A 22,441-nucleotide genomic window follows, 5' to 3' on the forward strand; every position below is an offset into this window, starting at 1 on the left:
CATGTTGGTCAGGCTGGTCTCGAACTCCTGGCCTCAAGTGATCCGCCCAACTTAGCCTCCGAAAGTGCTGGGATTACAGGCGTAAGCCATCTCGCGTATTGTTTTTTTAATAAAGTAATTGCAGGGGGAAAAGATCTGAAATTTTTAGATTAAAATACACATAAGACATTATCAGCCAGTCACATTGTATGGACCTTACTTGGATACTGATTATTTTTTAGCCTTAAAAAAAAATATGACATAAGATAATTGGAAATCTGAACTGTATATTTTATGATAAGGAATTCTTGTTATTTACAGATGAAATGATACAATGCCTGGGATTTGCTTCAAAACAATCTGGTAAAGGTGGGAAGTGGATGGGGCAAGATTAGCTATGAGTTGATAGTCATTGGGGTTGAGTGATGGGTATGTGGTGGTTCATTATACTATTATGTTACTTATGTATATGTTTTACTTTCTTTATAATAAGTACTTTTGAAAATGAGGAAATGGCCGGGCGCGGTGGCTCACGCCTGTAATCCCAGCACTTTGGGAGGCCGAGGCGGGCGGATCACCTGAGGTCAGGAGATCAAGACCATCCTGGCTAACACTGTGAAACCCCGTCTCTACTAAAAATACAAAAATTAGCCAGGCGTGGTGGCGGGCGCCTGCAGTCCCAGCTACTCGGGAGGCTGAGTGAAGCAGGAGAATGGTGTGAACCCGGGAGGCAGACAGAGCTTGCAGTGAGCCGAGATCGCGCCACTGCACTCCAGTCTGGGCTACAGAGCTAGACTCCGTTTCAAAAAAAAAAAAAAAAAAAGAGGAAGTAACATCAGACATCAGAAAGAGAATGGTTTGTACAAATTAAAATTATCTCCTCCTCTCTATATATACCATATATATGGTATTGTTTTGTATACTTTTGTTCCCAGATCTATTGGAACATAAGAAGCTCAGAAAAGCCCATTTTTTTGCATCTGAATGTCATGTTGTGTAGGAATTGATTATTGCAATGGTTACGAAGGATATTGGTCCTATTAAGGTGGCTTAAAATATTTTTTCCAAGAGACCAAAAGCCCTCTTTGGTCTTTACTCTTGCACAGTTTGTTATAGATTGTACTGAATTTAGAAGGCCTGAGTTTGGATTCTAGCTCTGCCATTTGCTGACCAATCCTGTGCAAGTCTGTCACAGATGTAGTGGGAAAAACATTGCATTTGGAATTAGACCTGGGTTTCGATCCTTGTTCTAACATTATTAGCTATGTATACTCAGTTAAGTTACTTCATGCTTCTGAACTTTAGTTTCCCAAGAGGGAAAAATCTATTGAACTCTCCATTTGGCCAACCAAGGGCTTGAACTAGACCTTTTGTAAGGAGTTAGAATGGGGGGCAATGGCCCAGAAAGGGCATCTAAGAAATGTAGCTGCTTAACCCCAGTGCCTGTGATAACCTGTCTGACAACCATAAATTTTCTTAAGTCAAAGAATGTTTTCCATACTAAACTTTTTTTTCTAACTGCTTCCTAAAGAAATGAATAACTCAGTCACTAATGCAGAGAAATTACTTTTCATAGAGGCAGCTGCTTCAACACCTAGAACTCTCAACAATTGCTGGAATATAGTATTGGTAAAATAAAATAAGTTTTAGCAGCTCTAGGTTTAAATACAACAAAATGATTTCTTTGATAAGATTAATTTTACAGAATTGTGTTGAGAGGCTAAGTTAGAGTCGTAAAATGTGTCTCAGAGCACCTGGTTTATAATAGGTATTTAGTATTTCTTTTTCTCCCATTTCATTTCTAATATGAGTAAGTTTAACTAGGTCCCTTCTAATTCTAGAACTCTATAATCCCTCCCTTTGCTTCTCTTTCTCTAGTACTTTATTGTCCATACCATTTTATATTATCTCATGTTGGTGTTTAATTTTCAGTGTTGTTTCTCTAGCAAGATTATACATTAAGATTATACATTACGTATTATACATTATGAGGGCAGGAGCTATACCTTGATTTGTTGGAAATCATAAAGAGACATATGCAGCTTGTGGTGTGTGATGATTGTAGCTCAAAAAATATCTTCTAAAAGAATGCATGAACTAGGCTGGGTGCAGTGGCTCACGCCTATAATCCCAGCACTTTGGGAGGCCGAGGCAGGCGGATCACAAGGTCAGGAGATGGAGACCATCCTGGCTAACACAGTGAAACCCCATCTCTACTAAAAATACAACAAATTAGCCGGGCGTGGTGGCGGTCACCTGTAGTCCCAGCTACTCGGGAGGCTGAGGCAGGAGAATGGCGTGAACCTGGGAGGCGGAGCTTGCAGTGAGCCAAGATCGCAAGATCGTGCCACTGCACTCTAGCCTGGGCAACAGAGTGAGACTCCGTCTCAAAAAAAAAAAAAAAAGGAATGCATGAACTAAAGTTAAAGCTCAGGGTGTGGTATGGAGGGTCATGGAGTAGGGGAAATTTTATAGTTAACAAGGCTACAAGTACTTTTCCAAATTTTTGAGTTCAGTATTTAAGCATTTCTTATACTTCTCAGATATGTGAAATACTAGCATTTTATCACCTTTCCCATCTGGAAAATAATTATAGATTAGGTCTGTCATTAGCTGTTTAAAAACTAGGTTTTAATTATACAACTAACTAAATATTCAAGTAGAAAAGTAAAATGATACAAAGTCCAACCTTGACCTACCTTTATGGTCCCTGCGAGTTATAATAGTCATCAATTTTTGTTTGTATCTTTTTTTTTTTTCTTTTGAGACAGGGTCTTGCTCTGTCACCCTGGCTGGAGTGCAGCGATATGATGACTGCTCTCTGCAGCCTTGACCTCCCATCCTCAAGTGATCCTCTCACCTCAGCCCCATGAGTAGCTGGAACTATAGGCGTGTGCCACCATGCGCCGCTGATTTTTCTGTTTTTTTGTAGAGACAGCATTTCACGTTGTGCCCAGGCTTGTGTTTGTATCTCTAATGACCTTTTTTTTTTTTTTGCATTTTTTCTATACATATATATATATATATATAAAGATTTGTGTGTGTGTGATCATGATTAATTTTTAGATTTTTGGTGGAACCTTAGACATTGCCTAGCACCCCTTTTCCATCCCTTTCCCATTTTGTAAATGAGGAAACAAGTCTAAATGGTCAAGTGGCATACCCAAGTTATTGGAGCTGGCTAGTGATACAACCAGGACTACACCCCAGGTCTTTGGACTCCCATGCCAGTATTCATCCTACTAAAGTAGATGATAGTCTTAAGAAAGTACAAATTGTTGGGAGGAACAAAACTAGTTTGCTTAGTTGCATAATTTTTTTTTCTTTGAAGATTTCTTTGGTGTGCTTGACTCAGAAAATCCAACTTTCTGGTATTACAAAAAAAATCAAGATTAAAATTAATACATCGAGCACCTTAAAGCATAATACAGTTGACTTTGTAATTAGCAGAGTTGAAAGTGATGAGAAGATCCTCTAATTTTCTTTTTGCCTGCAGGAAGGTGGGAGTCAATCATTTTGACAAGTCTCCTGAAAGGAACAGCTAGCAGGAACTGAAACCTTTTTCCATTTGGTCTCGTGGCAAAGGCAGAGATTGCTCCAGCAGCTCCACACAGTATGGAAGACAGTTATTTACCTTCTTGTGTTCTCGAATTTTGTTTTATTTCAAAAGTAATACATTTTTGTTTTGTGTTAAAGTGTAAACTGAATATTCAGACATTTTACATAATATACATTTGTTTTGTTTGTATGTTGTAGATATCATTCCATGATAGTACATACAGATCTACTTCATTGTGTTTTTAAATAATTGAAAAGTACTCCATAGCACAAACATACCATGATTTACTGAACAGTTCTCTTGGTAATAGACATTTAGGTTGCCTCCAGGATTTGGCTACTTTGAACATCCATGTATATATATATGAAGTTCTAGAAGTGAAATTGCTGGGTCAAATGGTGTAGTCAAATTACTCTTCACAAAATATCGTACTGACTTAACGCTTTTACTGATAGTGTGTGAATGCTCGTTTCTCCACATCCTCACCAATCCAGATTATCATGGCATCTTAATTATCACCATTTTGATAGGCAAAAGTATCTCATTGTTCTAACGTGTATTTCCATGTTTCTGGTAAGGTTAAATATCTTAAAATTATTTCTTATGCTACAAGTCACAGTGCAAAGATTTTGAAATACTAGAACATTACCCACATATAGTGGACTGGAGTTGGTATAAGGTTATTTTCTCTTCCTCAGTGAAATTGTCTCTTATTTCTCCAGAAATGATGTGCTCACGGGTGCCCTCTGAACAGTCTTCTGGTACCTCTCTCTTGCCTAAAGACGGTGCCCCATTTTCTTGGGATTCCTTGGATGAGGATGGATTGGATGACTCCTTGCTGGAGCTGTCAGAGGGAGAAGAAGATGATGGTGATGTAAATTACACAGAGGAAGAGATTGATGCACTGTTGAAGGAAGATGACCCATCATATGAGCAGTCTTCTGGGGAAGATGATGGTGGGCATGTTGAGAAGGGAGAAAGAGGGAGTCAAATTCTACTTGATACTCCCCGAGAGAAAAATTCATCGTACAGCCTGGGACCAGTAGCTGAGACTCCTGACCTCTTCAAACTACCTCAGCTAAGTACATCAAGTGGTCATGGACCAGCTCATACTAAACCATTAAACAGACGCTCTGTACTAGAAAAGAATCTTATAAAAGTAACTGTTGCACCATTTAATCCAACAGTTTGTGATGCTCTGCTTGATAAGGACGAGACTGATTCGTCCAAAGATACTGAAAAACTCTCTTCCCTTGGAGAAGAGATGAGAGAAGATGGTCTTAGCCCAAATGAAAGCAAACTTTGTACTGAATCTGAAGGGATCAGCCCCAATAACTCTGCCTGGAATGGGCCCCAGCTCTCTTCTTCAAACAATAACTTTCAACAGACTGTCTCTGATAAAAATATGCCTGACAGTGAGAACCCTACGTCTGTATTCTCTCGGATCTCAGACCATTCAGAGACTCCTAATATGGAGTTATCCTGCAGAAATGGTGGTTCACACAAGTCAAGTTGTGAAATGAGATCTCTGGTTGTTTCCACCTCATCAAACAAAGTAAGTATATTTTATTCAAGGTGAAGAGAAAAATGAAATTATTTTTATTCAGATGTATAGCAGAGTTTCCATATACCTGCTATCTCCACACATACACAACTTCCCCTGCTGTGGGCATCCTACACCACAGTGGTACATTTGTTATAATCTGGCAGAGCTTTGTATTCAGACAAATTGGGGTTTGAATCCTGACTAGCACTGTGACCCTGGGCTAATTATTTAGCCTCTATGTTTCCCCACATTTCTTATCTAAATTGGAGTAAATAATACTTCATAGTATAATAAGGATTAATGAAATAATGTATTTATATCACCTGGCACGTAATATTAAATTACCCTCTGTTGAATAATTACTAAGATGGTAATTCTGTTATTTTTCTTGTCTTTGGGCTTCAGCCTATGTCTCAATCTTTATTGCCATGCTATATATTAAGATACAGCACTAGCTCTGAATCAGCCATGAAAGAGCTGAAAAATCTTGGGCAATTTATCTAACCTTTTTGAGCCCGATTCCCTATCTGCCAAATGAGTGTAATAATCCCTGCCACGTAGGGTTTCTTTTTTTTTTCTTGAGATAGAGTCTTACTCTGTCCCTCAGGCTGCAGTGCAGTGGCACGATCTCGGCTCACTGCAACTCCCGCCTCTCGGGTTCAAGCAATTCTCCTGTCTCAGTCTCGAGTAGCTGGGATTACAAACATGCACCACCATGCCCAGCTAATTTTTGTATTTTAGTGGAGACGGTGTTTCACCATGTTGGCCAGGATGGTCTCGAACTCCTGACCTCAGGTGATCCACCCGCCTTGGCCTCCCAAAGTGTTGGGATTATAGGCATGAGCCACTACACCTGGCCAGGTTTTTTTTTTTTTTTTTTTTTTTTAAGATTACAGAAAAAGATTACAGTTATCTCATTTGAAGCACTACTGTTATACGTGGTACACAGTAGTGTTCACGAATAGGCTTTTGTAGCCTTTAGTTAAAAAATATTTCCATAAATAGTGTTTTCAGTGCTTTTCTTATAACTAAGAATCACCTTTCCTTTTGCATTCCTTTTCCTCAAAAAAGCAGGATGTTCTTAACAAGGATTCTGGGAAGATGAAAGGCCATGAGAGAAGACTAGGCAAAGTCATTCCTGTTCTACAAACTAAGACCAGGTAATGTAAAGTATAATTAAATATTCTGATTTATTTTGGTTCTCTTCAATTTCTTTCTTCCCCTCTCCAGTTTCCTCTTAGTGCAGGGAAAAAAATCCCTACTCCAGGAGTAAGCAAACTTGAAGTTCTAGCACTACCAACTATGTGACTTTTGGCAAGTCAATTAATCTCTTACCTCAGTTTTTATGCATGAAATAAGGCTAATGATGCCTCCTCTGCTGCTTGACAGGGTTATTTTGAAAGCAAAATAGACATATTAGCGAAAACACTACAAAGGTAAGATATCTTCTCCTGTGCATGGGGCAGCCTGGTCACATATATGATAAGAGGTTAGAATAATTTTAACGAAAATGTTAAAATACAAGTAGTAGAAAATCATTTTGTTGTCCCTCCCAACTTGCATACAACTACCCTTGCGGAAAAATTCCAGTAGGGGTTGCAAATTTGCGTCATCTTTTCAATTTATTCTCTGGTTGCCAGGAGATGGCAGTATCTTTACATGGTCCTTTTAAATTGAATCTACTAGAAAAAGCTTTTTTTAAAATGTTGGATCAGATTAGCTTCCTTACAGTGAGATTTAAAAAAATTCTTTTGATTATACATTTATTACATTAATTTTGCTTAAAAAATTTAATTAGGCCGGGCGCGGTGGCTCACACCTGTAATCCCAGCACTTTGGGAGGCTGAGGTGGGCCAATTGCTAGAACTCAGGAGTTCAGTACCAATCTGCGCAACATGGCAAGACGCCACCTCTACTAAAAATACAAAAAAATACCCAGGTGTGGTGGTGCACACCTGTGGTCCCAGCTACGAGGAAGACTGAGGTGGGAAGATTGCTTGAGCCCAGGGGACAGAGGTTGCACTGAGCCGAGATCATGCCACTGCACACCAGCCTGGGAGACTGACCTTGTATAAAAAATAAAATAAAAATTTAAATTATTACAAACAAGGCTAAAGTTTCCTTTGACTATCATCCCGAATCCCAGTTTCCTGGTTTTTTATTTTGTTTGCATAATTGAGAGAAACCTTGTGAATTGCTTACAATGTAAGTGATAATCAAAAGCTCACAACTCAGGCTACTTGGGACAGTAATAAATTTGCAATCTCAATATTCTCATCCACTGATTCTTTAGTACAGTCAGTCAGTATGAGTATGGGCCAGAAATTGCTCTCACCAAGGTCACCATTGCTCTGATGGCCAGATCTAGTGATTCTTTTCAGTCTTTATCCCATTTAACTTTTCAGTTTCACTCTAGAAAGCTATTTTCTGACTAACCTTGAATTACTCAATAAATACTTTCTCTAGGGACTAGTAATCTTCACCTTTCTATTCCTTGTTAGCAGGAGGTTGTATCTATTTCCTTCTCTTCGTCTTTTTTTAAATTATTTGATTTTTTTAGAGACAGGGTCTCACTCTGTGGCCCAAGCTGGAATACAGTGGTGTGATCATAGCTCACAGCAGCCTTGAACTCGTGGACTCAAGTCATCCTCCCTCCTCAGCCTCCTGAGTAGCTAGGACTACAGGCACATGCAGCCATGTCCAGCTAATTTTTTAAAAAAATTTCTTGGGTCTCACTGTGTTGCCCTGACTGGTCTCAAATTCCTAGCCTCAAGCAGTCCTCCTGCCTGATACTCCCAGAGTGCTGGGATTACAGGTGTGAGCCACCACACCCAGCTTCTCTTCTTTTTCTCTTGATTCCATACTCCATTTTAGTTTTTTTTGTGTATGACTAATACTGTCCTCTGCCTCTCGATCATAAAGATAATTTTGCCTCTGAAACTTAGTTCTAATCAATCAGCAGTATATCACTTCTCTCTACAAAACGCTATATTCCTGTTTCTAATGGGCTGTTTTTCTTTTTTCTGGTTTGCTTTATTCAAGGACTAATGTTCCGACGTTTTCACAGTCAAATCTAGAACAGCAGAAGCAGCTTTATCTCAGGAGTGTCATTGCTCATATAGAAGACCCAGAGGACACTAACCAAGGTAACATGGTACCCAGAGAAAGGCATATAAAACATGTGATGTGACTTTCTCTTTCCGGTGTAACAGCTTAAACTGGGAGATTGTTTAGAATTTTCTTAAATTCTTGAGAAAGATAACTTCCTTACTTAAAAGATTTTCACTTAAAAGGATTGCCTAACCAGATAATTCTCGAAGTGGTTTGGTTAACCAGTTTTAGAGAGGGATCTAAGCACGTTTACAACAGTACATGAAAGGTGCCTCCCTCATGGTTGAGGGCTTTAACCCAGACCGGTACATTTTTGCTAGGGATTTTTTTGTCTGAAAAATAACGGAAGTGGATGACCAGGTGCTGCTTACTAATCAGTGGTTTTTAAAATTTGAAATGTTTTATTTCTCCTGTTACCTTCAGCATTTAAAAGCAGGCATTTCAAACACCATTCTGCATTTTGGCTTCTGAATAAAAGCTCTTGAAAGGTTTGGCTACCTTCCAGATCCTTCAAGTTGTGTTCTCCCCACTTCATTAGAAGATATTGCAAACCAAAGTGACTAGATTCTTTCTCCAGCTCTCAAGAGAGTACAGTCCATGTTATCATTCAGCCTGAACTATTGGCTGATGGGAAAGCTCCTAAAGGGGAGACTTACGGGAAGAACTGAAGGTGAAGAGGTTAGAGAGGTTTTATACTGATAAAAGAATCACTTATTAAAAAGATCACTCCAGGCTAGGCATGGTGGCTCATGCCTGTAATCTCAGCACTTTTGGAGGCAGAGGCAGGCAGGTCATTTGAGGCCAGGAGTTTAAGACCAGCCTGGCCAGCATGGCAAAACCCCATCTCTACTAAAACTATAAAAATTAGCCGGATCATATTCTTTTGGGAAAAAAAAAATTAGCCAGGCGTGGTGGCACATGCCTATAATCCTAGCTACTCAGGTGGCTGAGGCACAACAATCACTTGAACCCGGGAGGCAGAGGTTGCAGTGAGCCAAGATCATGCCGTCGCACTTTAACATGGGTGACAGAATGAGACTCTGTCTCAAAAAAAAAAAAAATCACTCCATATTCTGTCATCTTCATTCATTCAGCAAACTTTCTCGAGTATTTCAGTCGTGGTAGTTTTGAAGATAAGGAATTGGAAATGGAAATGTAAAGAGGAGTAAGATAGGGTCTTGGCCCTCTGGGAATTCATAGCCTAGAGAAGAAGATAATTATACTGCAGTATTGATTAGAGTTCTAATAGAATTACATATAAAGTACAGTAGGAGCAGGGAAGGAGCCCTTCTGCTTGTGTTTGGGAAAAGTGGAAGATGGGGAAGGAGGATGCCCTAGGTGAGCTCCACAGAGAAGATAATTAGTTTAATTACTCTAAGATCTATTGTAAATCACTGGGGAGGGTTTTAGGAGAATTTTTGGTCCTTTTGCAGAGGAGACTCTTCTTTCTTTTGACAAATCTTGAATTATGTAGTAGTTTTTCTTGTTTGTTTTATAAGATTATGATGAGACATCAGTCAGAAGAATTTTTTATCCCGTATCCTTTTATTTTTCACTGAATATTTCATAAGCAACCAAATATTACTTACACTGATTTCTTAGCCCTCTGCTTGTGAGATCCCTTTGCTAGAACTATTTTAGGTCTGATAGAAGTAGAGAAACCTCTCCTCTCCACCTCTCCCCCCATCATTGGAGGGGCAAATTTAAAAGAAACCTGTCTATATTCAAGCTCTGTGGAACAGGCCTAGTCATGTCATTGCTTTTCCCTCTGTGAGCTGACTCCTTTTTTTATATCCTAGGCAGTTGACACTGATGATATCCAGTTATGTTTTCTCTCATTTGGAGCATTTAAATAAAATTTCCCAAGAAAAGCAAAGAGCAGCTGTTCACACTATAACATCATTTTCAATCTTTTCCCCATTCAGCAGTTCCTTTCCCAGTATTACCACAACAATCTATATCCCATGAAGAATAGCTAGAATAACTATAGTGAATAGGCAGCATACTTTAGTGGTTGAGAGAGTAAAGTCTAGTCTAGAGTTAACATCTGGGTTCACATCTTGGCACCACTGCTTACTGGCTGGGTGAGCCATTAAATATTGATTTGTAAAATTGGGATAATGACAAGGCTTAACTTACATGAAAATTATACGGGTATAAAGCATAGAACAGTACCTAGCTCTAGTAACTAACATTTATTGAATAGTTGCTGTTACCAGCAAGAAAGGATATTTTTTCATACTGAAGTTTTTTTTTTTAGGTAAAATAGCGTTATATCTAGTGTTTGTTTTTAAATCACAGCCAAAAAATACTGGAAACAGCTTTGATAAAATGTTGATAAATGAAGGTGAGTGGTGAGTACACTTTCTACTTTTGTGTATATTTGACAATTTCCATAATTAAAAAGTTGTTTTTTAAGCACGTCTTTTAGGGCATTCATTTTTTTCAGCATTACAAATTACTCTAAAAATTTCACAGACCTCTGGCACTTCCTTCTGCCTTCCAGGAACCCAGTATAATATGAAGTTTTTCTATCACTTCCCATTGCCCAGTATTCCTACATCCAAAATCATAAGATTTGTATATACCTTATTGCAAGGGCGGGGGTGGTATGTTCTTCACCTTTCCTCCATTTGTATGTGAATTATAGTGCAGCCAGAAGCACAAAAGGGGAGCGTAGTACTTCTTGTCCTCCTTCCTTTTGAGATGTTTATTGCATTTAACCTTGAAAAAGTGTAATTCTTCAGGTTATCAGACACAGAGAAATTAGTAAGGAGTAGATTCAAATGTAGTTCTTGCCAGTTCAGTTTGAATCCTCTCCATTGGGTTAGTTATCTCTTTTCACTTTATCAATAATGTATATATTATTGATGTAGAATGTAACAAAGTAAATCATCCTTCAACTCCATTATTCTAATGTAAGTATAATCTCTTTAGTTTAGTGCCCCATGGGTTTTTTTTTTATAATAACACTTAAAAAGAAATACCAACAACTTCCTTTCTGGTATCCCTGCAAATGGAAAACTTTCTATGAAATTATAAGTACTTAAAGTAGAAAAGGATCATTAAGAGCTTCTCTTTAATCTCCTAACACATAAGTCTGTTCTATATATTTTTGCCAAGTGACCGTTTAGCCTTTGCTTAAAGTTCTAATAATGCAAAACGCATTACCTCATAAGGCAGGTCATTCATTGCTTAGAAAATTTTAGTTGTTAGAACGTTATTCCTTACGTTGAGTCAAACGTGGCTTCCCTATAACTTCTAGTGGTAGTTCCTAGTTCTGCCCTCTAGCATCATGAAAAATAACTTTGTTCTGTCTTTCATTTTTTATTATTTTCTTTTTTTTTTTTTTGGAGACAGAGTCTGCTGCCCAGACTGGAGTGCAGTGGCGCGATCTCGGCTCACTGCAGCCTCTCCCTCCCGGGTTCAAGCGATTCTCTTGCCTCAGCCTCCTGAGTAGCTGGGACCACAGGCGCAGACAACCACACCTGGTTAATTTTTGTATTTTTAGTAGAGACACGGTTTCACCATTTTGGCCAGGCTGGTCTCGAACTCCTGGCCTCAAGTGATCCGCCCACCTTGGCCTCCCAAAGTGCTGGGATTACAGGCGTGAGACAGCACCCAGCCCATTTTTTATTCTTTCAGACATTAGAAATAATGATTCTCTCTCCTACAAAGAAAAAAACTTAAAATCACCTATAAATCTATCCTGCCACCTAGAAATAACAAAATTAACATTTTGATAATTATCTTTCCTGTAAGGTAGAATATATACAGGGAAATTACATATTAATAGTTTATAATCTGCTTTCTTTGTACTTAATGTATTTTAAGGACCTTTTCATGTAAAATATTTGAAATTAAGATTTTTAATGATTACAAAGTATTTTATTATATAATTTATTTCATCTTGGTAAATTAGATTGTGTCCATTTTCATTAGTAATGCTGCAGTGAACATTCTGGTCAATAAATGTTTATGTACAATTCTTATTTCTATAGGATGAATCCCTAGAAGTGGAATTGCTGGGTAAAGTATATAAACATTTAAAAAACTGTTACATGTTACCAGATGGTCCTGCCCCAAAAAATTGTATTAATTTTTAGTGTCACCAATTTGATAGGTAAATTTTAACATATTTTGTTTTAATAATTGGTCAGGTTAAATGTTTTTTGTTTATTGATAATTTATATTTAATCATAATTTTTAAAAAATCATGTAATATATATTCCATATTCCAATTTCCTTAGTTGTCCCAAAAATATATTCTTGTAACTTTGGTGAAATAGCATCTAATCAAAGTTCACATTTAGTTATTGTCTCCTTAATCTCTTTTAATTTAGGTCACTTGTTTTATAGATTGTCCCACATTCTGAATTTTGTCTGTTTCTTGTGGTATCATTTAATTTGTTCCTCCATTCTCTGTATTTCCTGTAAACTAGAAGCTGGGTCCAGAGGTGGGATTAGATTCAAATTAAGTGTTTTTGGCAGGGATAATTCCTAGGTGCTATTGTGTATTCATCCTACACTATACCCTACACTATATCCTTCTAATCAAATCAGCAGGCATATATGACACTTAATGACAGGTTGTTCCACAAATAGTAATACTAAGTTTGTTAAGGTGTTAACTGCCATGTCTTCCCATTGTAAAGTACATTTACCCCTTTTTAATTAGTAAATTATCTGTGGGGTGATGCTTTGGTACCATGTGAATATCCTGTTCCCCAACAACTAACTGTTCACCTAATTGCTTGAGCATTTATTGATGATCCTTGCTTGAATGAGCTGCTGCACTGGGAGTTACATAGAAAATGTTCTTTTTTGGCCAGGCGCAGTGGCTCATGCCTGTAATCCCAGCACTTTGGGAGGCTGAGGCAGATGGATCATCTGAGGTCAGGAGTTCAAGACCAGCCTGACTAACATGATGAAACCTGTCTCTACTAAAAATATAAAAATTAGCTGGGCGTGGTGGTGGGCGCCTGTAATCCCAGCTACTCGGGAGGCTGAGGCAGGAGAATCTCTTGAACCCAAGAGGCAGAAGTTGTAGTGAGCGAAGATCAGGCCATTGCACTCCAGCCTGGGCAACGAGCAAAATTCCATCTCAAAAGAAAAAAATGTTCATTTTCTAAATATATAATTTCTTCTACAGTTATTAACTAGCATTCTTTTGTAAAGATTTTCTATTACTTTACTATTACTATAACCTCATGGATTTTTTTAAAGAATCAATATGTTGTAATCAATTATAGCTACTGTTCTTGGTTTTTCTTTTTGATGCTCAATTTGTCTCAAATTTGATAAATGGGAGCTCCTTCAAGATGACTCTTGTTCCTATTGACATGATCCCATTAATCTTTTTTTTTAATTGTGGTAAAAAAAATACATCTAACATAAAATTACCATCTTAACCATTTTTAAGTGCACAATTCAGTAATGTTACATATATTCACATTGTTGTGAAACATATCTCCAGAACCTCTTCATCTTGCAAATCTAAAACTCTATACCTACACAACAGTTCCCCCTCTCTCCCTTCAGTCTCTGGTAACCACCATTCTACTTTCTTTTTTTTTAAATATGACTACTTTAGATACCTTTTATAAGTGGAATCATACAATATTTATCTTTTTGTGACTGGCTTATTTCGTTTAGTATAATGTCTTCAAGATTTACCCATTGTGGCATGTGACAGGATTTCCTTCCTTTTTAAATATTTTTATTTTTATTTTTTTTCTATTTTTCTCACCACTCAATTTCCTTCCTTTTTAAGGCTGAATAATATTCCATTGTATATATACACACCATTTTGTTTAATCCATTCATCTGTCAGTAGACATTTGGGTTGCTTCCACTTCTTGGCTATTGTGAATTGTGCCACTATGAACATGGGTCTACAGATATCTCTTTAAGACCCTATTTTTAATTCTTCTGGATATATATGCAGAAGTGGGATTGCTGGACCATATGGTAGGTCTGTTTTTAATTTTTTGAGGAACTTCATACTGTTTTTCATAGCAGTTGCACCATTTTGCAGTCCTACCAACAGTGCACAAGAGTTCTAATTTTTCCCCATCCTTGCCAGCACTTATTTTTTTGTGCTTTTTTTTTTTTTTTGAGGCTGGAGTCTCGCCCTGTCATCCAGGCTGGAGTGCAGTGGTACAGTCTTGGCTCACTGCAACCCCTACCTCCCACATTCAAGTGATTCTCGTGCCTCAGCCTCCCAAGTAGCTGGGACTACAGGCGCACTCCACCACGTCTGGCTAATTTTTGTATTTTAGTAGAGATGGGGTTTTGCCATGTTGGTCAGGCTGGTCTCGAACTCCTGAGCTCAAGTGATCTCCCCATCTCGGCCTCCCAAAGTGCTGGGATTGCAGGTGTGAACCACTGTGCCTGGCTTGTGTTTTTGTTTTTGTTTGTTTTTTTTTATAGTAGCTATCCTAAAGGGTGTTAAATCAGTATTCATTGTTTTTGTGTCCCAACTAAGTATTGTTCACTGAAAAGCCAAGTAGTATATTATGGCTTCATTTTCTTTCTTGAATTGTTTATTTTTGTAGAGTTGTTAATTGCTTCAGTTTCTTTCATTAAATTTTTTTTTTGGGAGAGCTTTTTCCTAGAGCCTTCTGTTCTACTGCTCCAATTTGCACTGCTTGTTCTTTAGCCCTGCAACAGAGCTGTCATCCCAGGATTTTCCTCTGCTGCCCTCCTGGGTTGAATCCTGTTTCTTGGATCCTATATCTTCCTCTTTCTTATTTTTGGTTTTAGTAGAGGACATCCTCTGAGAATATCTAAGAAAGGGTGCATAGATGTTTTCTTTGTGTTTACATATCTGAACATGTCTTTATTCTATCCTCATACTTGATTGATAGTTTGATATAAAATTCTAAATTTAAAATCAATTTTTGCTCAGAAATTTGAAGACATGGCCAGGCGCAGTGGCTCACGCCTGTAATCCCAGCACTTTGGGAGGCTGAGGTGGGCGGATCCCAAGGTCAAGAGTTCGAGACCAGTCTGGCCAATATGGTGAAACCCCATCTCTACTAAAAAAAAAACATACAAAAATTAGCCTGGTGTGGTGGCGGGTGCCTGTAGTCCAGCCTGGGCAACAAAACAAGACTCCATCTCAAAAAAAAAAAAAAAAAAAAAGAAATTTGAAGACATTCAGTATTGCTCTTAAGAAGTCTGAAGTCTGTTATAAGTTTAACTTTTATTTCTTTGTATGTCATCTGTCTTTTTCTCTCTGGAAGTTCTTTTTGTTTGTTTGTTTGTTTTTGAGACAGTCTCGCCCTGTTGCCCAGGCTGGAGTGCAGTGGCGTAATCTGAGCTCACTGCAGCCTCCACCTCCCAGGTTCAAGCAGTTCTCCTGCCTCAGCCTCCTAGCTGGGATTATAGGCACCGGCCACCTGCCTGTAATCCCAGCTACTCGGGAGGCTGAGGCAGGAGAATCACTTGAACCCGGGAGGTGGAGGTTGCGGTGAGCCGAGATCGCGCCATTGCACTCCGGCCTGGGCAACAAAAGCAAAACTCCGTCTCAAAAAAAAAAAAAAAAAAGATAATAAGCATATTGGACTAAAAACTTTCTTTGTGCACCTTTGTAATTCCTCCCTTCTGCCTATCTCTGCCCCCTCTAATCCCCAGGCAAGATTGACCACTGATCTAGTGTCTACTGCAGTTAGTTTGCATTTTCTAAAGTTTTATGTGATGGAATCATACACTATGTACTCTTTTGAGTCTGGCTTCTTTGTCTCAAGATAATTATTTTGAAATTCATCCATGTTGCATGTTTATTTCTTTTTATTGCTGAGTAGTATTCCATTATATAGATTTATCCCTAAGTGAATGTTTACCCATTCACTTAGATGGGCATTTGGCTTATGTTCAATTTTTGGCTATGACAGATAAAACTGTTAGGAACATTCATGCACAAATCTTTGTATATATATGCTTTTATTTTTCTTAAGTAAATATCTAGAGTAAAATGACTGGGTCATACGGTAGGTGTGTGTTTAACTTTTTGAGAAACTGCCAGCTGGGTGCGGTGGCTCACGCCTGTAATCCCAGCACTTTTGGAGGCCGAGGCGGGCGGATCACGAGGTCAGGAGATCGAGACCATCCTGGCTAACACGGTGAAACTCCGTCTCTACTAAAAATACAAAAAATTAGCTGCGCGTGGCTCCTGTAGTCTCAGCTACTCGAGAGGCTGAGGCAGGAGAATGGCATGAACCCGGGAGGCGGAGCTTTCAGTGAGCCGAGATAGCGCCACTGCAGTCCGGCCTGGGCGAAAGAGCGAGACTCTGTCTCAAAAAAAAAAAAAAAAAAAAGAAAAGAAAAGAAACTGCCAAACTGTTCCCAAGTAGTTGTACCGTTTTTCATTTCTATTAGCAGTTGTATGAATTCCGGTTGCCCCCAGCCTTACCAACAATTGGGTATGGTCACTATTTTAAAATGTTTCCCCCAACTTTTTAATTATAAAATACACATAATATACACATAACCATCTTTTTAAAACCTCTTTATAAAAACGTTTTGGCTGGGTGCAGTGGCTCACGCCTGTAATCCCAGCACTTTGGGAGGCTGGGGTGGGCAGATCACCTGAGGTCAGGAGTTCAAGACCAGCCTGGCCAACGTGGTGAAACCCCGTCTCTACTAAAAATACAAAAATTAACCAGGCGTGGTGGCAGGTGCCTGCAATCCCAGCTACTCTGGAGGCTGAGGCAGGAGAATCGCTGGAACCCAGGAGGCAGAGGTTGCAGTGAGCTGAGATCATGCCATTGCACTTCAGCCTGGGTGACAAGAGTGAAACTCCGTCTCAAAAAAAAAAAAAAAGTTGTAAGTGTACATTTCAGTGGTATTAAGTATATTCATATTGTTGTACAGCCATCACCATATCCATTTCAATAATTTCTTGGTCTTGCACATCTGAAGCTTTGTTTTTTATTTTTTTAAAGATGAAGGTCTTGCTGTATTTCCCAGGTTAGGCTCAAACACCTAGGCTTAAGCAGTCCTCCTCCTCAGCCTCCTGAGTGTCTGAGACTACAGGCACACATCGCTGCACCCACTACAAATCCATAGCTCTATACCCATTAAACAATAACTCCCCATTCCCCTCCCCCTTGAGCCCCTGACAACCACCATTCCACTTTATGTGTTTATGAATTTGACTACTCTAGGTACCTCACATAAGTGGAGTCAGACAAAGTGGTATTTGTCTTTTCGTGACTGGCTTATTTCACTTAGCACAATGTCCTCAAGATTCATGTTTGTTGTTGCATGTGTCAGAATCTCCTTCCTTTTTAAGACTTAATAATACAGCATATGGATACCACATTTTGATTATCCATTTATATATCAATGGACACTTGGTTTGCTTCCACCTTTTAGCTTTGTGAATAATGCCGTTATGCATATGCATCTACACGTATCTTTTTGAGACCCTGCTTGCAATTCTTACATACCAAGAAGAGAAGAGGAATTGCTAGATCATATGCTAATTCTATTTTTATTTTTATTTTTGACATGGAGTCTAGCTCTGTCACCCAGGCTGGAGTGCAGTGGCACAACCGTAGTGCAGTACAGCCTCAAACTCCTGGCATCAGTCTCCTGAATAAGGTTAAACTACAGGTGCACACCACCATGCCTGGCTAATTTCTTTTTATTTTTAGAGACGGGGTCTCACTGTGTTGCTCAGGCTGGTTGTGAACTCCTGGGCTCAAACTATCCTCCCACCCCAGCCTCTTGAGTAACTGGGATTATAGGTGTGTACCACTGCACCCAGACTATTTTCTTTTACTTATTTGTTTTTTGAGACAGGGTCTCTGTCACTGAGGTTGGAGTACAGTGGTGTGATCTTGATTCACTGCAACTTCTGCCTCCCAGGCTCAAGCAATCCTCCCACCTGAGCCTCCCGAGTAGCTGGGACTACAGGCTCACCACCACACCTGACTAATTTTTTGTTTTGTTTTGTTTTTTTGAGATGGAGTCTTGCTCTGTTGCTCAGGCTGGAGTGCAGCGGTGCAATCTCAGCTCACTGCAACCTCTGCCTCCCAGGTTCAAGCGATTCTCCTGTCTCAGCCTCCTGAGTAGCTGGGATAACAGGTGTGCATCCACCATATCCGGCTAATTTTTGTATTTTTAGTAGAGGTGGGGTTTTACCATGTTGGCCAGGCTGGGCTTGAACTCCTGACCTCAAGTGATCCACCCACCTTGGCCTCCCAAAGCACTGGGATTACAGGCTTGAGCCACCGCACTCGGCCTAATTTTTTGTATTTTTGGTAGAGACCGTGTTTTACCATGCCACCGCACCTGGCCCCCTATTTTCTGTTTGTTTGTTTATTTTATTTTGAGGCAGAGTCTTGCTCTGTTGCCCAAGCTGGAATGCAATGGCATGATCTTGGCTCGCTACAACCTCCCCCTCCTGGGTTCAAGCAATTCTCCCTGCCTCAGTCTCCCAAGTAGCTGGGATTACAGGCACCCGCCACCACGCCTGGCTAATTTTTGTATTTTTAGTAGAGACAGGGTTTTGCCATGTTGGCCAGGCTGGTTTCGAACTCCTGACCTCAGGTGATCCGCCTGCCTCGGCCTCCCAAAGTGCTGGGATTACAGGTGTGAGCCACCACGCCCGACCTATTTTCTATTTTTCAATGGGAGTCATCCTAATGGGTGTAAAGTGGTCAGTTTTTATAATTTTAGACTTTCTAATATATGTGTAGTGATATCTCATTGTAGTTTTCATTTGCATTTTCCTAATGAGTAATAATGTTGAGCATCTTTTCATGTGCTTATTTGCCACCTGTATATCTTCTTTGGTGAAGTATTTTTTGCTCATTTAAAAAATTGGATTATTTTCGGCCAGGCGCGGTGGCTCAAGCCTGTAATCCCAGCACTTTGGGAGGCCGAGGTGGGCGGATCACGAGATCAGGAGATTGAGGCCGTCCTGGCTAACACGGTGAAACCCCGTCTCTACTAAAAATACAAAAAAAGTAGCTGGGCATGGTGGCGGGTGCCTGTAGTCCCAGCTACTCAGGAGGCTGAGGCAGGAGAATGGCGTGAACCCGGGAGACGGAGCTTGCAGTGAACCGAGATTGTGCCACTGCACTTCAGCCTGGGCGACAGAGCAAGATTCCATCTCAAAAAAAAAAAAAATAAAAAAAATTGGATTATTTTCTTATTACTGAGTTTCGAGAGTTCTTTAAATACATGTTCCAAATGCAAGTTTCTTTGCCAGATAAGTAATTTGGAAATATTTTCTCCCAGTATATGCCTTGTCTTTTCATTCCCATAAGTGTCTTCTAAAGAACATAATTCTTAGTTTTGATGAAGTAAGTTTGTTTATTTTTATTTATTTATTTATTTTTCTTGGTAGTCACTGGTTATAGTAGATGAAGTAAGTTTAATCAGGTTTTTAAAAATTTTATGGGTGGGAAGCAGTGGCTCACACCTGTAATCCCGGCACTTTGGGAGGCCAAGGCAGGCAGATCACCTGAGGTCGGGAGTTTGAGACCAGCCTGACCAACATGGAGAAAGCCCATCTCTACTAAAAATACAAAATTAGCTGGGCGTAGTGGCGCATGCCTGTAATCCTAGCTACTCGGGAGGCTGAGGCAGGAGAATTGCTTGAACCCGGAAAGTAAAGATTGCTGTGGGCCGAGATAGCACCATTGCACTCCAGCCTGGGCAACAAGAGCAAAACTCTGTCTCAAAAAAAAAAAAAAAAAAAAAAAATTACGGATTATGCTTTCATGTGGTATCTAAGAAATCTTTGCTTAAAAGAAAAGGCCACAAAAATTTTCTCCTATGTTTTTTTCTAGAGGTTTTATAGCTTTAGGGATTACATTTAGATCTATGATCCTTTTAAAATTTATTCTGTATGTAGTGCAAGATATGGATTAAAGCCTGTAATCCCAGCACTTTGGGAGGCTCAGGTGGGAAGATTGCTTGAGCCCAAGAGTTTGAGACCAGCCTGGGCAATGTGGTGAAACCTTGCCTCTACCAAAAAAAAATTAAAAGGTTAGCCGGGCATGGTGACATACACCTGTAGTCCTTGCTACTCAGAAGGCTAAGGCAGGAGGATTGCTTAAGCCCAGAAGAGGGAGGTTGCATTGATGCACCACTGCACTCCAGCCTGGGTGACAGAGTGTAAGACTGTCTCAAAAAAAAAAAAAAAAAAAAAAACATATATATATATATATGTATATATATATATATACACACACACACACACACACACACACACACACACGTGGGAATGTAAGGCTTATTTTCTTGGCACATGGATATTCAATTGCTTCTTTACCATTTATTGAAAAGACTGTCCATTCTGCATTGAATTGCCTTTGTACCTTTGTCAAAAATCATTTGTCTCTAGAAAAATCAGGTTTCCAGGAAAAAAAAGACTAATGTGTTCCACTAGTGTTCTTATTTTTCAGTTGTGTTGGCTTTTGTAGATTCTTTGCATTTCCATATAAATTTTAGAATTAGCGTATCAATTTCTTAAGGCTTGGTGGGATTTCCATTGGGATTGTATTGAGTCTATATAAATAAATAAAACTGAGAGAGAATTAACATTTTATTTTATTTTTTTGAGATGGAGTCTCACTCTGTTGCCTAGGCTGTCGTGCGGTGGTGCGATCTCAGCTCACTGCAACCTCTGCCTCCGAGATTCAAGCAATTCTCCTGCCTCAGTCTCCCAAGTAGCTGGGATTACAAATGCCTGCCACTACACTCAGCTTAATTTTTTTATTTTTAATACAGACAGGGTTTCACCAAGTTGGCCAGGCTGTTCTCGAGCTCTTGACTTCAAGTGATCAGCCCTCCTCAGCCTCCCAAAGTGCTGAGATTACGGGTGTGAGCCCCCGCGCCTGACTGAGAATTAACATTTTAATATTGAGTGTTTTGATTAAAGTCTTCTCTAATTTCCTTCATAAATGTTTTGTAGCTTTTGTACAGTCTTGCACATCTTTTATCCAATTTATCCCGGAGTGTTTCATATTGTGATGCTTTTGTAAAATGATTTAGTTTTTAAAATTTCAGTATCTGTTCATTGCTATTATATAGAAATGTAATTGATTTTTGTGTCTTGGTCTTACATTCTATAACCTTCCTAAATTCTTTTATTAGTTTTAGTAACTTTTTAATAGATTTCATCAGGTTTTCCCTGTAGGTTATCTTATTGTCAGCAAATAAAGAAATTTTTACTTGTTTCTTTCTGACTTGGATGCCTTTTATTTTCTTTTCTGGTGCTGCCTAGAACCTCCAGTTAAGTACAAATGAGATCTTTTCTTTTTGTTTGTTGTTGTTGTTGTTGTTGTTGTTGAGACAAGAATCTCGCTCTGTTGCCCAGACTGGAGTGCAGTGGCGTGATCTCAGCTCACTGCAACCTCAGCCTCCTGAGTAGCTGGGACTACAGGCATGAGCCACCACACCCGGCTAATTTTTTTTTTTTTGAGATGAAGTTTCACTCTTCTTGCCAGGCTGGAGTGCGATGGCACAATCTCGGCTCACGAAAACCTCCGCCTTCCATGTTCAAGCGATTCTCCTTCAGCCTCCTGAATAGCTGGGATTACAGGCATGTGCCACTGTATCTGGCTAATTTTGTACTTTTAGTAGAGACAGGGTTTCTCCATATTGGTCAGGCTGGTCTCGAACTCCCGACCTCAAGTGATCCGACCACCTTGGCCTCTCAAAGTGCTGGGATTACAGGTGTGAGCCACCGCACATGGCCTAATTTTTTGTATTTTTAGTAAAGACGGGGTTTCACCATGTTAGCCAGGATGGTCTCGATCTCCTGACCTCATGATCTGCCCGTCTTGGCCTCCCAAAGTGGTGGGATTACAGGCGTGAGCCACCATGCCCGGCTGAGATCTTTTCCCATCCCCTTGTTGACTTTTTTTTTCTTTTTTTGAGATGGAGTCTCGCTGTGTCACCCAAACTGGAGTGCAGTGGCTCGATCTCAGCTCACTGCAGTCTCCGCCTTCCAGGTTCAAGTGATTCTCCTGCCTCAGCCTCCCGAGTAGCTGGGACTACAGGCGCCTGCCACCATGCCTGGCTAATTTTTTTGTATTTTTAGTAGAGACAGGGTTTCACCATGTTGGCCAGGCTGGTCTTGAACTCCTGACCTTAGGTGATCCGCCCACTTCGGCCTCCGCAATTGCTGGGATTACAGGTGTGAGCCACTGTGCCCAGCCAATTTTTTGTATTTTTAGCAGAGGTGGGGTTTTGCTATATTGGCCAGGCTGGTCTCGAATTTC

General features: G+C 39.7%; 1 protein-coding gene across 20 annotated transcripts in view, besides 1 other annotated feature; it reads left to right on the plus strand.

Moving 5' to 3' along the window:
• S100PBP (S100P binding protein) overlaps window positions 1-22,441 on the plus strand; it is a 42,318-nt gene that overhangs the window by 5,276 nt on the left and 14,601 nt on the right. For 7 of the 20 annotated variants that reach the window (XM_011541962.3, NM_001256121.2, XM_011541961.3 and 4 more), the window contains exons 2-5: window positions 3,476-3,592; window positions 4,261-5,093; window positions 6,156-6,244; window positions 8,127-8,230. In XM_011541962.3, coding sequence (XP_011540264.1) covers window positions 4,263-5,093; window positions 6,156-6,244; window positions 8,127-8,230 — 1,024 coding nt within the window. In that variant the 5' untranslated portion in view covers window positions 3,476-3,592; window positions 4,261-4,262. Of the gene's footprint in view, window positions 1-300; window positions 343-369; window positions 836-3,475; window positions 3,593-4,260; window positions 5,094-6,155; window positions 6,245-8,126; window positions 8,231-10,496; window positions 10,543-12,196; window positions 12,225-22,441 lie in introns of those variants that run through there. The other 13 variants (XM_047428036.1, XM_047428035.1, XM_017002098.3 and 10 more) reach the window with 9 other exon arrangements.
• Window positions 11,848-12,017: an enhancer, noted in NCBI's record as "experimental_6850 CRE fragment used in MPRA reporter constructs". NCBI's record gives its function as "activates a minimal promoter by MPRAs in K562 erythroleukemia cells, with activity observed for both the introgressed and non-introgressed 1:33299371 variant alleles {active_cell/tissue: K562}" and the evidence as "EXISTENCE:reporter gene assay evidence [ECO:0000049][PMID:34662402]".

This window comes from Homo sapiens, chromosome 1 (assembly GCF_000001405.40).
Source record: "Homo sapiens chromosome 1, GRCh38.p14 Primary Assembly".
Taxonomy (NCBI): domain Eukaryota; kingdom Metazoa; phylum Chordata; class Mammalia; order Primates; family Hominidae; genus Homo; species Homo sapiens.